The sequence below is a fragment of the Homo sapiens genome, chromosome 3 (genome assembly GCF_000001405.40).
Source record: "Homo sapiens chromosome 3, GRCh38.p14 Primary Assembly".
Lineage (NCBI taxonomy): Eukaryota > Metazoa > Chordata > Mammalia > Primates > Hominidae > Homo > Homo sapiens.
The window spans coordinates 169,969,233-169,985,208 of record NC_000003.12 but is presented as its reverse complement, the minus strand read 5'-3'; the positions used below and the strand labels follow the sequence as shown (position 1 = coordinate 169,985,208).

At 36.3% G+C, this 15,976-nt stretch overlaps 1 protein-coding gene across 3 annotated transcripts in view; it reads right to left on the bottom strand.

Moving 5' to 3' along the window:
- Window positions 1-15,976, bottom strand: part of SEC62 (SEC62 preprotein translocation factor) — a 31,567-nt gene that overhangs the window by 13,165 nt on the left and 2,426 nt on the right. For 2 of the 3 annotated variants that reach the window (XM_047448819.1, XM_011513114.4), the window contains exons 2-6: window positions 15,826-15,922; window positions 9,493-9,601; window positions 8,158-8,263; window positions 2,298-2,502; window positions 1,956-2,048 (exon numbers count right to left, since the gene is read on the bottom strand). In XM_047448819.1, the coding sequence (XP_047304775.1) occupies window positions 1,956-2,048; window positions 2,298-2,502; window positions 8,158-8,263; window positions 9,493-9,523 (435 nt within the window). In that variant the 5' untranslated portion in view covers window positions 9,524-9,601; window positions 15,826-15,922. The remainder of the gene's footprint in view (window positions 1-1,955; window positions 2,049-2,297; window positions 2,503-8,157; window positions 8,264-9,492; window positions 9,602-15,825; window positions 15,923-15,976) is intronic. The other variant, NM_003262.4, reaches the window with a different exon arrangement.

Sequence of the window (15,976 nt, the reverse complement as noted above, 5' to 3'; positions counted from 1 at the left end):
AACACCAGCAACTGCCAACCTTTTTGTCCCTAATGTAATGATGAACCAGTCTGGGATAAAAGCGCAGTTAAGACAGATTCCAGCCAGGCCCTATTACAGATCTAGTATCACTCAACTCCACACTTTTCTCTCCTGAGAAGACACAAAGATCAATTATTAAAGATCATGCTTGGTGAACATAGTCTCTATGACTGTATTAATTTCATTGCCTACTCCTCCATGGAGGGCCCATAAGCTGGGAACCACTACTTCAAAACTTAATTTACTTTTATCAGGCTCTTATTTTACACAACAGAAATTTACTTCATTCAGATCAGAACTCTGTTTGATCATTCATCCATAAAACTCAGTTTTATTTCTTAGTTTCTATAAATAACAGTACTCTTCCCTCTTATTTCTATATTGACCAGAACTCTTTATTGTCTTTCCAACGTGGTTCTTCAATTTTTAACACCAGAGGTTCCACTTTAACCTCTTATTTTACTCTGCCCATTTCCTTGGGAATCAGATTCACAGATATTACTTCTGCCAGTTTCCATTCTAAAAAAACATGTTTTTTTAAAAAAGATATTTCACAACTTTAAAAGTTATGGAGTGCATGCTGCTTTCTACAGAATAAAATCTAGGCTTCTCAGGATACCAAGCACCCATGCGTTTGCTCAGGCTGTTTCCTTCCCTAACAGACCTAACCTCCTTCCTGGCACGCCTGGCAATCTGCCAGTCATCTTCAAGTCTAAGCTCAAATGTCCTTTAGACCCTTCTTATCCTTCCTGACTAAATTAACTATTCCTACCTGGTGCTTTCACACCATTAATGCTTACCACACTGTACTATATTAACATGTTTAAGTGCCTGTATCTTTGCTAGACCATTAAGAGATTTTATCCTACTTATCAAGCTATTCCCAACGCCTATAAAAATAAAAATTTCTATTACAGTGGTTCTCAACAAGGGGTTCACATCAGTCACCTGAGGACACTTTATTATAGATATATAATCCTCCCCCACAATCCCACTCTAGATAGTCTCATGCAAGTAAGAATTTCAAACACACAACCCTAGGAGCCATGACTTTATAGATGTTACTATTGTATAGGTATAACAGGAAAGGATATATCCTGAAATTCACAACAGTTCAATGCCCAGTATATAACTCATGTTTACGTACTGGTGAAGTGACTGAATTAAGCAGTCTTTATGGAAGGCTACCACCATACAAATCTTCCATTACAAATGATAAGCATAAAGCATCAAGAAATGTTAAAAATTTTAAGCCCCTCAAGTGATGTGTCTGACTTACATTCTGTAAGAGATAGAGACTTGTAGCTATCTCCTATTCTGCTCTTTTTTCTTTGATAATAATGGAAACCCTACATTTCGGCTGGGCAAATAATCATCCTGTATAAAAAGTGCATTTCCAAGATTTTACTTCTCATATGCATGACCATGTGACTATGTTCTGGCCAATGGAATTCAAGCAGAAATGAAATTACCAGCTTTCTGGACAGTGTCCTTAAACTGGTCTCCTTAAAGAGGAGACATATTCTTCACTCTCCTTTCCTCTTTTCGATGCAGATATAAGATTGGCAGTCATTCTGGACCATAAGGTAACCTTAGCTAGAAGCCTCAGACAGAGGAGAAAAGAAGAGCTGGGATCCACCATGGAGCTGACGTATCTGTACAGCTTACCTACAGATTTCACTGATAAAAAAGAAATAAGCATCTATTTTGTATTAAGATGCTTTTATTTCAGGTTTCCTATCACTCACAGTCAAATCTGACTTTTAAAAATCTAAATAAGAGAAATTATTGATTTTTAAAAATGGAGTAGCTTTTATACATTTAAGAGCATAATTAGATTTCTCAAAATTTTTCCTTTTATTAGTGAAGGCATCAAACATCTTTCTAAAAACTCCTATAGAAAACTGAACTTCTAGTTATAGGCTTACTCTCACCTCATTTCCATCCAGAAAAACCTGATCATCATGTGGCTCAAGTTTGAATTTTTTCTTAGTTTCCTTCTTTTTAGGAGTTCCTGGAGTTTCCTCCTATGAAAACACAAGTTGGACAGAAGAAATAACACAAGTAAGCAAGAAATATGATGTTCATACAGTCAAAAAACTTTCACTGACTATTTGTAACACAGAAATAAAAATTCTCAACCACGGTATTTATAACAACTCTAATATAGTTATCTCAGGTAGGTGTTGCATAATACTTAAATGTGCTCATAGGCCAGTAGTGTTCATGTGCACATAATGATTTTTAAATTTTTACTTAATTTTAGATTAACTCACCTTTTTGGATTCTTCCTTTTCACCATCTTTTTTTTTCTCTTTTTCTTTTTTTGTCTTCTCATCCTTTATATTTTCTTTCTTGCTCTTTTTATCTTCTTCTTTTCCACTTTCAGCTTTTCCTTTATCTTTTTCTTTCTTTATGTCTTTATCATATTTCATTTTCATTACTTTTAGGGCTCGGTGAAAAAACTGCTTCTTTAAAAGCCTTTGGGAAAAACAGGTATGGCATTACACTCCCCATATAGATAGAGACTGAAAAGCAAAAATATCAAGACCTGAATAAAATAAGCAAAGGAAGGCATAAATTAGCAACACAAGAGAAATTACAACTAGTATGCCCGTGAAAAAGTAGTCAACTCTACCACTAAATCAAAACACTTTACAGTCAATTATATAAAAGTTGTCAAAACTCAGTGATATTCAATATAATTTTCACTTTTAATGATGTACCTTAAGTATAAAAGAGATTATAGGTTTGAGATTATCCATATAAAGACTCTTTCTGGGTTCATATAATCAAGACTCAGCTTCACTTTATGTTAAGTCTCAAATGCAAGAGCTGACGTAATAAAGAAAGGAGAAAATAAACAGTTTAAGAAATGTTAACAGATTAAAAGTGATGATTTGATGGGTCCAAATAATGTCTTTTCAGCTTTCTTGGTGTTATTTTTTCTCCAAGTACTTCGCAATTCAGTGTGCCACTGTAATGATTATCTTCAATTAAGCAATGATTAAATATACTAAGGTGAGATTTTTGGACTCTGAAAAGGACGTGCACAACATCAAATTGAAAAATGTGCAATATATTTGGCAAAACATGATGTATTCCTGGTTTCACTAATTTCTCTCTAAATAGATTGTTTTCTCTCTTTTTATCAGTTATTACTATATTTTATATTCTCACCTTAGGGCCTTCACACTGGCTGTTCCCTTTACTTAGAATGCTCTTCCCCCAAATAAGCAGGTCCTTTTGTTTCACTCCCTTCCTTCAAGTTTTCCCTCAACCACAACCTACTCTGTTTAAAACATAAGCCCACCTTCCCATTCTCTCGTTTCCTGTTACCCTATCCATAGCACTTATCTTCTAACTCACTATATAATTTGTAGTAGTTGTTTGCTCCTTCACTAGACGGTAAACTTCTTAAGAGAGAGAGAGATCCTTGCTTTATTCATTTTTTATCTGACCCCAGATTAAGTCAACGTTGCTTGGTAGTTTCTCTTTAACCTTACAATCCTACTCAAGAAATTGGGTTGCCCTTATTTTTGTCATCTAAAAGTCACTTTTTCAAATCTCATGTTCTAGTTTCAGAATTTCTGATTGGTTTCTCCATTCCTGCTTTGATAATGTCTAATTGCCACAATACAATCTAGAAGCTACGTCTCACTACCACCACTGGTGCCTGCTAATGGTGACTATCTAGCTACCTTTCTACTTACACCTCACTGGTGCCTGCTCCAGCACATCACAGCACTTGTTAACTAGATGCTTTCTTCCTGCCCAGATAACCACTTCTTTTTGTCACTGTGTTCAGTCCCCTGAAGCACCTATGTTTCTATGTTTTACCTGCCTGGCTGGGCTTCCATCTGCTCCCCAATTAGGTCCAGCCTATGAGCACTTCCACAAAGCTAATTTCTAGGTTTCCTCATTTGGCCCATACTACTTATTTGGAAGAGCTATTTTTAAATTATGTAAATATGATTGTGCATATAATTGTGCAAATGTTCAAACTGCCCCTCAAAATGCTACCATCATATCTGCTATGAATACATATACATATATAAACAAACAAGAATCTGAAATGAGACCTTAATGATTAACTACTTATGAGTACAAAGTGGGATTTAAGAATAGTAGTGGCATATTTGAATATGAAGTGTAGTCTTACATTTTTTACTCCAGAATGTCTTACAAAAAAAATCTATAATGAAAATATATTCTAATTTTCTTTGTGCACTTATATGATTTCCAGATTTTCTTTCAGGAACATTTATTTCCACTCCAAATGAAAATAAAAATACATCCTGTTCCTCATATGTTAATTGAAAAAGCAGCATTTTATAATGCAGTTAATATACATGTCCATATATTAAGAGTACATGTGTACACATACAGATACTTGAAGTATATATTCTCAAATGGTAATGTGGCTGGCTATCTACGAAGCAACATTATTAGTAATTTGGATTTTCTTCTAAATCATTTGCAACAGTTCCCATTTTCTTAAATTTACTTTAGTGGAAAAAATGATTCTTAATAAAGAATTTTAAAAACAAACAATGCAACTTTAGTAGAAAAAAGCCTTTTCCCTGATGAGTAGATACTGAAGGCAATAGAACCAGCAGGATCATCTGCTTCTGTCAATTTTCCTGCACAGCTGCCCACCCCCACGAAAGAAAAGTAGATTATTAACTTTCAATCAAATTGTGTTGAAAATAATTTCACAATTAGGTTGAAAGATGAGACTGACATTATTTAACATTTGTATAGTATCAGAGCCTCCGTTTGTTTGGCTTTAAACCCATGACATAGAACACATTACTAACATAAAACTCTCTGACATTTTTACACAACTACTCATACTTTCCTATCTCGGTGTGTTCTATGCCCTTTGCTTGGAATGAATTTCCTTTCTTCTCTTGTTTGTTGGGTAATCACCTATTTATGTTTCAAAATTTACTTAAAACATTTTCTGTGTGATGTCATTCTTCATAGTTTCACCATCTCTCTCTTCCTTATTCAACACACTGCATTGTGATTAGTTATAAATCTTCCCTAACAGATCAGAATATGTTTTGATGTAGGGACCAAGTCATAGTTATTATTGTATTCCTGGAGCCTAGACTATTTGTTGAGTAAGTGGTTTTAAAACAGCTTCTAAAACATTTAAAAAATTACTTCTGTATTTTTTTCCTTCACTTCCATTTTTTTTTCAGATTTAACAAACATTTATTAAATGCCAGACATGTTGGGGACTTCCACCAATGTGGCAAAGGTGAGTTTTTATGAAGTGCTCACACTGTGGTAATTGCTATGGAGTTACAATAAAGTATAAAACAGTCTTACAATTGTTTTCAGATTTAGCTGGCAGGAGATTTTAAAAAAACTCACACATATGTAGCAATTCTAAAATAGTTAAGGGCCAAACTGGGAGGTACTAACTTGATAAACTCAGTAGAACTTTAGATACAAAGGCTGATGAAGGCTGGAGGGCCTGGGGAAGAGTACATTCGGTAGAGGAAGGACTTGAGGGATTTGTTTGTGATTTTGAGAGGCAGGTGGGACAGAGGAAACAGAACCGTTTAGGGAAAGTGGCAAGTTATGATAGGAAAAAGACTAGAAGAAAAAATGAGTGTGGCATGTGCACAAGACTGAGGACGACATAACTGGATTGGGGGTCAGTGATACAAAGTCTTGTGGAGACTTAACCTAGTATGTATGAGTTCATTCATGATATAGGCCATAAAAAGGTATAGATCACATTAGAAAAGATTGTTTTATCATCCTACATTTTCCTATTTTGTTTTTCCTCAGACTCCCTCATGCCACTTAGCTGCCTCAGAAAAACTGACAGTATTGGAGGATGCCAAAAAAAGAAAAAAAGAAACTGGTCAAGAGACCCTTTGTGATTTTGTCTGCTATTGGGCAGCAACTCATGAGAACTGGCCAATAAGACTCTACGGTTATATTAGAAGTGGCTCTGGAGACCTTAAAGTTATGCTATTCTCATTTATTTTAGTGCAGAAAGGACTCAAACAATCTGACATCAGTGGGAAGAGCGTATACAATGAAAATCGAGTGTCTTTGGACACTCTCTGTACTCAGGTCTTTTGAGCTTTTCAAATAACAAGGTACCAAGGCTCCTAAAAAGCCAAAAAATGTGGATTCATACTGGCTGCTCTACTCAGAGATTTGGGCTTACAGATCTAATAGCTCCATTAAATGCATCGTCATTTTGTTGGAGGAGACAGTATAGAGCGGTAGTTAAGAACACAGACTGTGGAGACAGGCTGCTAGATGTAGAACCCTAGATCTGCCACTTGCTAGCTGTGTAGCCTTAGATAAAGTACTTAAGTTCTCTGTGCCCCAGTTTCTGCATTTGTAGCATCTCTTAATTTTTACACAACATGTAAAAAATACATCAGTTTTGTGGCAGGTAAGGAAGTTTGTACTTTTTGGTTTGTTTTTAAGACAGAGTCTTGCTCTGTCACCCAGGTTGGAGTGCAGTGGTGCGATCTCGGCTCACTGCAACCTCCACCTCCCGGGCTGAAGCTATTTTCATGTCTCAGTCACCCAAGTTGCTGGGACTACAGGTGCATGCCACCACGCCTGGCTAATTTTTGTATTTTTAGTAGAGATGGGGTTTCGCTATGTTGGCCAGGCTGGTCTTGAACTCCTGGCCTCATGTGATCTCCCTGCCTTGGTCTCCCAAAGTGTCAGGATTACAGGCGTGAACCACTGTGCCCAGCCTGGAAGTTTGTACCGTGGAGCTAATTCTATTCACCTTTTTATTTTTTCCCCACGAGCAGATTCAAGTTGCCCTGGATATATGCTTGCTGGAGCTAATTCTAACTAGACAAGTTGCTACAAAAGACAAGCAAATATCAACTGCATGAGTGTTAGCTCATCCTTGTCTCAACAATGTCTCACTCTGTCGCCCAGGCTGGAGTGCAGTGGCGCAACCTCGGCTCACTGCAAGCTCCGCCTCCCGGGTTCACGCCATTCTCCTGCCTCAGCCTCCCGAGTAGCTGGGACTATAGGTGCCCGCCACCACACCTGGCTAATTTTTTGTATTTTTAGTAGAGATGGGGTTTCACCTTGTTAGCCAGAATGGTCTCGATCTCCTGACCTTGTGATCCACCTGCCTCGGCCTCCCAAAGTGCTGGGATTACGGGCATGAGCCACTGTGCCTGGCCGAAACCTACTGTTTCTAAAAGGTCTGTTAGTAACCTCTAGTCTTTGGCAACTAAGAATTTTAAGAAATATTCAATAATTCTTTAACTTGACAGCTTAAGAAACCAGGTTGTGAAATAGTGGTTTTTAAGAGGGTTCTTATGTGGCTGATACTTTAGGTGCCATTAAATAAAATATTAGTACACATAAAATAATCTAAAATCCCAAAAGATAAGCTTTAGTGTTATGAAAACAAAATTTAGTTAACATATATTAAGAAAATGCTTAGTATTAAGTAAACCAAGAAAAAAAAGAAAAGAAATGGAAAGAAAAACCAGCATACTTCCTTCCAAAAGGAAGGTGATTTTGTCTTTTAGGTAAACCACTTAACATCAAAAGTTTTTTCAAAACAGAAAAAGTATCTATTATGAAAAATATATGTATATTACTGAATTAGCTGTATTTCATCTTGAAATTCTCAGAAAAAGATAAGGTAGATGTTGCAGCTTCCTTGATTTTAGAAGAAATACTACATTAGCAAACACTGAACCAAATAGGAAAGGGTATGAGGCTTATGGCTCAGGGTGCAGGCACTAAAAAAGTAGCGGTAACACAGCTAATAGGAATTCCTGCAAAAGTTTTGAAAAAAAGACTCCTCAACCAATTTGCTCTACAAAAGAAAAAACTTTCTTTTCTACTGTAGGCACTGGTATATGACTTTTGTTGCTGACCCTTCAGTAGGGCTCACAAATATATAAAATAGAACATAAATAAAAATTATATACAGTTAAAAGTATAATAGTCTAATACCAAACACATTTCCAGAGGTACCAAAGAAATCAGGTTACATGTGAAAACAGTATTTGAGTTATGTTGTAGTATCACTACATTTAATGATGTAAGGAGCTTCAGGACTATGAAGAAAATTTAAAATTATTATGTTATTCTTCACTAAGAAATAAACAGTACCTGTTGCAGTAGTCAACCACAGACTCCCTGGTTGTAAATAAAGCTTCCTCTCCTTTCTTGGCCTTTGCCCACTTTGAATCCAAAAGACAGTCCACTGCTTTTGAAGCTAAAGAAGAAATTCATTATTTTAAATTTAGCATACATGGGGATTTATGTCTATCTAAATAATATTTTATAAAGTAAAATTTCAACACTCTGGCAACAAAAAAGAAAACCAAACTCAACAGAAAACTAAATCTAACATGATCATGATTAGTAGTTCCCCAAAACCTCAACTTGTGAACTATATTAAGTATCTTTTAAAAGTAATGTTGGGAAATAATGGCATTCAGAAAGACCAACTAAAGCAAGTTAAATTAATGGGGAAATATTCAAAAATTTAAAATATCTGTATGTAACTATCACTCTTATTAATCACAAGCATATGTAGATAAACCAAAATGTTCACCACTCCCTGCAAGTAATAAAAATTCTCATCAAGTTTTACTCTAATACACTGAGGAAGAAGCTCTGTCAACAATCCACTGCTGTCACAAGAAACAGCTAAACATATTATATCTGAAGAGATTAGCACATCTACTTTTTAAAACTTGTAATGAATGTCAAATCATTAAAAACAGTAAAGAAAGAGACGATAAAGGACTTTTCCTCTACACTGGCAATTTAGTTTTTTTTTTCTTCTAAGAGACAGGTTCTTGCTCTGTCACCCAGGCTGGAGTACAGTGGTGGGATCATAGTTAACTGCAGCCTCTAACTCCTGGGCTCAAGCCATCCTCTCACTTCAGAGGCGCATGCCATCATACTCATCTAATTTTTTTGTAGAGATGGGGTCTCATTGTGTTGCATAGGCTGGTCTCGAACTCCTGGCCTCAAGCAACCCTCCTGCCTTGGCTTCCCAAAGTGTTGGTACTATAGGTGTGAGCCACGACACCCAGCTGCAATTCACTTTTAATTGATGAGAAAGGCAAACTCAACCCCTACTTATAAGCTCTGGTGTTATAAATGACATCAGCTTATAATGACATTGTTTGGGGAAAAAAAGCCAGTGCTCTTAGTTCCAAGTACGCATACTATCTAAACAAAAGGTAGTATTTTAAAACACTGAAAATAAATCCTATTTAAAAAAATTTCCAACAATTGTTATTAGAAAACATGTTATCTTTTTATTATAGACATTTTCAATCATAAAAGAAAAGAACAGAATAATCAACTGCCATATGTCCATCACCAGAACAATCACATTTGGAAAGCACTTTTAAAACTTCTACATATCCCAAATGTAGGTTAACTTCATAACATATGTACACTAATACGATTTTACTGATATAATCCTACCAATAAAATAATCAACCCGGTGACCCATCATATTGGTGGACTTTGTTGGACAGTTGAATCGAAGATACTTGGCCACAGCCTTCTCTTCTTTAGATGGTTCACCAACTTCCTGCAACATATGAATATTAATTTAGTATAATCATATACTTGAGAAATTCATGCGCTGAATAATAATTTACAAATCTATTTTATGAATCTTTTCAAGTGGAGTACAGGCCTTGCTTTCAAGCTTTCTCTGGAGCGACCTAATAAAGTATTCAAAAGACAAAAATGGAGATTTAAAGAAACTACGTTTTTCAAATATAAGTTGATAGAGGCAAAGCCTGTCTGCTTCTTGGCTTCAACTATGAGGCATTTGAGTTGTTTTTTCCACAATGGTAACTACTTTGTACCAGTTCACTTTCATTCTTATACGGTCTTTTTTTTTTTTTTTTTTGAGATGGAGTCTCACTCTGTTGCCTAGGCTAGAGTGCAGTGGTGCGATCTCGGCTCACTGCAACCTCTGCCTCCTGAGTTCAAGTGACTCTCCTGCCTCAGCCTCCCAAGTAGCTGGTATTACAGGTGCCTGCCACCATGCCCAGCTAATTTTTGTATTTTTAGTAGAGACAGGGTTTCGCCACGTTGGCTAGGGTGGTCTTGAACTCCTGACCTCAAGTGATCCGCCAGCCTAGGCCTCCCAAAGTGCTGGGATTACAGGCGTGAGCCATCGTCACCGGCCTATAGTCTCTTTTTATAAGCCACAAAACAGTAATTAAAAAGATAAGATGTTGCTAATAGTGAGTATCCAAATGTCAAAGTAAGTAGAAACAAGTGTCATAAATAAATGTTAAAATAACAGCCAAAGATATGTATCCTGAACAATGGACAACAGATCGCAGAAGGAGTTCTCAAATTAATCAATGACAGCTGCCCCCAATGTGGTAGCCATAAGAACTACTGACACAATGACAATTTGTATTCTCTTTCCTTTCCCCCTGTGGCTGCAGATACCAGACACTCCTGGGACTGTCTTTCTCATCTTCTCTTCTCCAGTAAGGGTGAGGCAAAAATGAAAAATGCAAAAAGAGTTATTACTATCTCATTTGAAGAGGTGATTAATGGAAGTGCACTGACAAAGAGTCGTTTTGGAAAGGCCGTTTTAATCCTTCTCTGCTTTCTTTCTTCTATATCTTTTCCCAAATTTTCTATTATTTTCTTCATTGTTTCTCATTCCCCATCTTCCCTTTATTCCCTTTCATTCTGAACTTCTTTGACAATTCCTCCTGTGAATTTATTTTCCCTACTCACGTACTGAAGAAAATGAAGGCAGTCTATCTTTGTATACATCTTATGTATAAACTTTCAAAAGCTGTCTTATTGCTGTAAGCTATTGAAACAAATGCACTGTACTTAATTACTGTCTATAATTGCATGCTTAAGCACAATACACAGAACATTCAGTATTTCCAGCAACATATAATCTAAATGTGAATGATTTCAGGAAGGGCTGCTTCATTAAAGAATAAAATGACAAATAATAGTAAAAAATAATCTGGCAAGAATCTAAGATGCTAAGAATTAATGCTAAAGACAGCTGTTTCAAGCAAAAAAAATCTAATGATGCAAAATAGAAAAAAGAATCTATCCAACTTATCTATGTTGGGTTTTTCCAAAGTTAAGAGAAGTCTGAATTAAGTTATGTTTGAGGAAAATAAAGAACAACCAACAAACCTACGTTTCAGCTTTAACTTTATCCCAAAAAGGAATAATTTGTTAGATGAAGTGGAAGTTTTTGTTTTGGTTACTGAGTCTCCTGGCAGGTACATCTCTCATTTCTTCCTTTGTATTTCGCAAGTCCTCTACTTCCAGTAGCCCAATTACCTGTGTAAGATCATACCAGTGTACAATTCCTACAGTCTGCAACTACCAGCTGTGGGCTATTTGTGGCAATAAAAATTAAGAGCCCAAATCACTCAACCCAAAAGAAGGCTACTATAAAAACCAAGTATTTATGAAATTAAAACTTTTATATATGAAAATACGTATCACAAAAAGTAGATTTTTTTTTTTTTTTTGAGACGCAGTCTTGCTCTGTCTCCCAGGCTGGAGTGCAATGGTGCTATCTCATCTCACTGCAACCCCCACCTCCTGAGTTCCAGCGATTCTCATGCCTCAGCCTCCCGAGTAGCTGGGATTACAGGTGCCCACCACCATGTCCGGCTAATTTTTTGTATTTTTTGTAGGGATGGGATTTTACCATGTTAGCCAGGCTGGTCTCGAATTCCTGACCTCAGATAATCTGCATGCCTCAGTCTCCCAAAGTCTTGGGATTACAGGCGTAAGCCACCACGCCCAGCAAAAAACTGGAACCTTAAAAAATGGCAAATTCAAAATTTAACACTCCAAGTTCAGGAACAACTACAAGATTCATAATGATTTATTTGAGGCCTGACTGCAAAATATACTTTCTGATATAATAAAAGGCAAAAATTCCTAATTAAAATTTTTGAAACCATGCTAAAATATATTAATATATGTTAGTATCAGGCATATTAAATGATAGTATTTAATTATGTTTGTAAAATACACTACACTTCGCAGAGCCTCAATTAGTAAATAATAGTCTATATATCCATACATCTGAAAAAGTAATACTATAAAAGTTGAATACTATAAATGGTTTATAGAAACCAATTCTATTATATAATCACACCACACATGCTCAATTTTTTCCTCATCTGATACATCTGTTGTCAACTTAAAATCGATCTAATTAAATAACTTGTTACTGGGAGGTGCTTGATTAAAAATTGTGGGGGAGAAGTCTGAATAAATGTGACCTGTTCTTCCAGACTTACAGAGTACTCACCCTATCATCTTTGGATGCTACAGTTAACAGCAAAGATTTGTAAGGCATGATATGTACACTCTGTTACATAACTGTTAGAAGCAGTAATTATTATTTCCCAAAAAGAGGGGCAGAAAAAATATTTTTGAAATACACAGAGTAGGATGGGTTGGGTGGCTCATGCCTGTAATCCCAGTACTTTGGGTGGCTGAGGCAGGCAGACTGCTTGAGCCCAGGAAACCAGGCTTGAGACCAGCCTGGGCAACATGGTGAAACTCCTTCTCTACATAAAAAAAAAAAAAAAAAAAAGATAGAAAAAGGTGCTACACATGTGTAGTTCCAGCTACTCAGGAGGCTGAGGTAGGAAGACCACCTGAGCCCTGGTAGGTTGAGGCTGCAGTGAACCAAGATCATGCCACTGCACTCCAGCCTTGGCAACAAAGTGAAAGCACCCAAATTAGGAGTGAGATTATCAATGTGGATGGGAACACTGGAAGAGGAAGATAAAGTTTGAAAGATGAACAAGTTTTGGGTAAACTGACTGAAAAGCCATAAATATTGTGGCTGAGAATGACACAAAATTTGGCTCTAGTAGAGACAAGCTAGGAAGTACTGGGAGATTAAGTGTGTAAAAGCAGAATAGTCATCAAGGTAGGCAAGGAAATTTCTACTTTACCCTGTAAGCAGCAGAAAGACCACTAGTAGTTTCTTAATAGGACATAACTAGAAAAATGATTTAGACATGATTTTGGTGGCTGTGTGTAGGATGAACTGGAAAAAAATGCATAAGGCAGGGAAATGGATGGAAGACTACTGTAATATTCAAGTAAATTGTAGTGTGATACTGGACTATAAATGGGAAAGAAATTTAGATATCTGAAACATTTCAAATGTAGAACACATAGAACTCAATGATAAAGGATAAATAAAATGGCTAGGTAAAGATGTCAGATTTCCAACTTTATCAACAGAAAGGAAATGTGGAAGGAAAGTAATTGTAGAGAATGACCATATCAAATTTAGGCATGATACAAATATACTCATACTAACACTCAGTTATACCATTCCTGAATACAGACATAAATATACTAATCTACTGACTGCTGATAGAGGCATCACATGTAAAACCTGATTAAATATTAGGGTACATAAAAAATTGAGAAGCTGATTACATATTACGCAATAGGGAACCTGATATGTATGCACAAAATTTAAAAATCTCATTCTAACAATTAATTTCAAGTTCACCAAACTCTTCTAAAACTGCACCCTGTCCTTTGTAAAGGCACTATCAAGAGGCAATGAAAGGAAGAGACCAGAAAACACGGACTTGGATAATCTCTCCCAACTAGACACAGAATTAACTTGTTTACTGATACTTTCTTAAAGTATTGCAATTTATTAACTTATAATAACTTATCCATATTGTAGACTGCCTTCAATGCAACAATATAATTTGTGCCATTGCTTTGGCGTTGAAGCCAGAAAGATAGATTGCTGTAGAAGAGTACCATGAGAGGCAGGGCTCAGTGGCTCATCCCTGTAATCCCCACCACTTTGGGAGGCCGAGGTGGATCGCATGAGACCAGGAGTTTAAGACCAGCCTAGGTAACTTTCTGATACTCCATCTCTACAAAAAATTAAAAAAAATTAGCTAGGTGAGGTGGTGCACACACTTGTAGTCCCAGCTAGTTGGGAGGTTGTGGCCAGAGGATCACTTGAGACCAGGAGTTTGAGTCTCTAGTGAGCTATGATGCCATCACTGCATTCCAGCCTGGGCACCACAGTGAGACCTTGTCTCTTTAAAAAAAAAAAAAAAAAGTACCATGAGAACATGAACAGATAGTTGGGATTACAAGCACAAGCCACCACATCCAACGTGCATGCAGTCTTCACTTTCACTGTTCTCCTGATGCAGCATAAGAAGGTATAAAAGTTTTACCTTCTTTTTGTTTATACATTGGACTACAGTACCTCCCCCTCTTTGTTCTCTTTTGATGTAAACAGAATATTTTTATAATTTTCCTAGAAGACTTCTAACAAAGTGAAGGCCTTTTGGGAATAGTAGCACCCACTAATAAAGAGAAACCAACCTATCAATCTTCAAACAAATGGAGAGAACTTCTTAGTTCAATGAATGAACACAACTGTCTTACAATGAGGAAGCTAAGAGCCAATAAATTTAGGCTGGACTGCCTTTCCTTTCTTTGCACCCAACACCAATACACTGGGTGCTGTAACTTAAAATACAAAATTATTTAAATTGGAAGTTTGGTTAGAATACTCTTATAAAATTCTTTAATAAATACTGTTTTTTACTTTAGAATACACCGACACTCAAATACTATAATAAGATAGAGTTTGACATTTCTAAGTTATTTTAGCCAATATTTAACCTTTTTGAGAAAAAAATCAAGAGTAAGTATGTCACAGGCACCAATCTTACAGAATTTGTGATACAGAGGAACTTTTAAAAATTACTACATCCAATAAAAATTAGCTTAGTTGATCTGTCAACCATGAACTGAGCAAAAAAGAAAAAGGCTTGGTTCAAGCAGTATAAAATATTTGTGAAAAATGCAAATAGTAGTTTAACAATAAGATCTGAAAGCTGGAGGGGACCTTAATCATTAGTAACAATATGTGCTACACAAATAACACTATACAAGAGTATCTAGACAACAGCAGTGCCCTTCTGTAATAGCTCCAACTCCCTTCTATTGTATTCTTTCCTTAGCAATGGGTTTGCTAAACTGCAAAACCCTCCATTAAGCCTTTGAGGGGTAGTTTTCTGATTTAGGACTGGCTTCCTGAGTTCTTTCTCTTCAGAATATTCAGAGTCAGAAATTAGACCTGTATAGTCTGGCTATATAGTCCCAAATTTTCTCTTTTCTTCCCTGTCCTGAAATTAAGCACATAAGCCCATGATATGTCAAGGTTTTATTGCTTGCCAGGAAGACAGATGGGTGCAACAAAAATAACTAATGGAGGGTTATAAAAGTTCTAAGAATTAGCCATTTAAATGTCTCAAAACTCAACTGGACATTAAGCAGAATACTGAATGGGATGATTCTCTTTAGCAAGGACAAGTCATGTTAAGTCTTTACGTTGCATAATTCAATAATAAAGAAGTCAGGATTAAAGTATTTCAAAGCAACTTATTTTTTATCTATTGTGAGACAGAAAGAGTATTCAGTTGGGAATCAGAAGACCTGGTCTAAATCTGGTTTTACTATCTTGATTGACGATCCTGGATTAAGTCACAAAACCTCACTGGACCTCAGTTTATCTGAAAAACGAGGGTGTTGGGTGAGATCAGTCAGCTGTAGGATCACCACTCTGCTTTCATGTTAAGACTGAATTTATGAAAAAGGCTTCCAAACAAACCCTACTAGATCCTTTTAAACTCTAAAATTTCTTGATACCAGGATTGTAAATCAACTTCTACTATGCAGCAGCACATTGTTAATCTATATGTAGTTACTGTATGAGTACATGTAGCTCACTTCTGGTTTTCAGTGACCAGTAATGAGTCCAAGAAGGAAATGTGACAACAGTCCTCTTGCTAGAAACTTCGATGGGACACGAGAATCTGAAATTATACTGAATTACAAAGAAAAAGCAAATTAGCTACTTTTTTTTTTAACCCTGAACTTA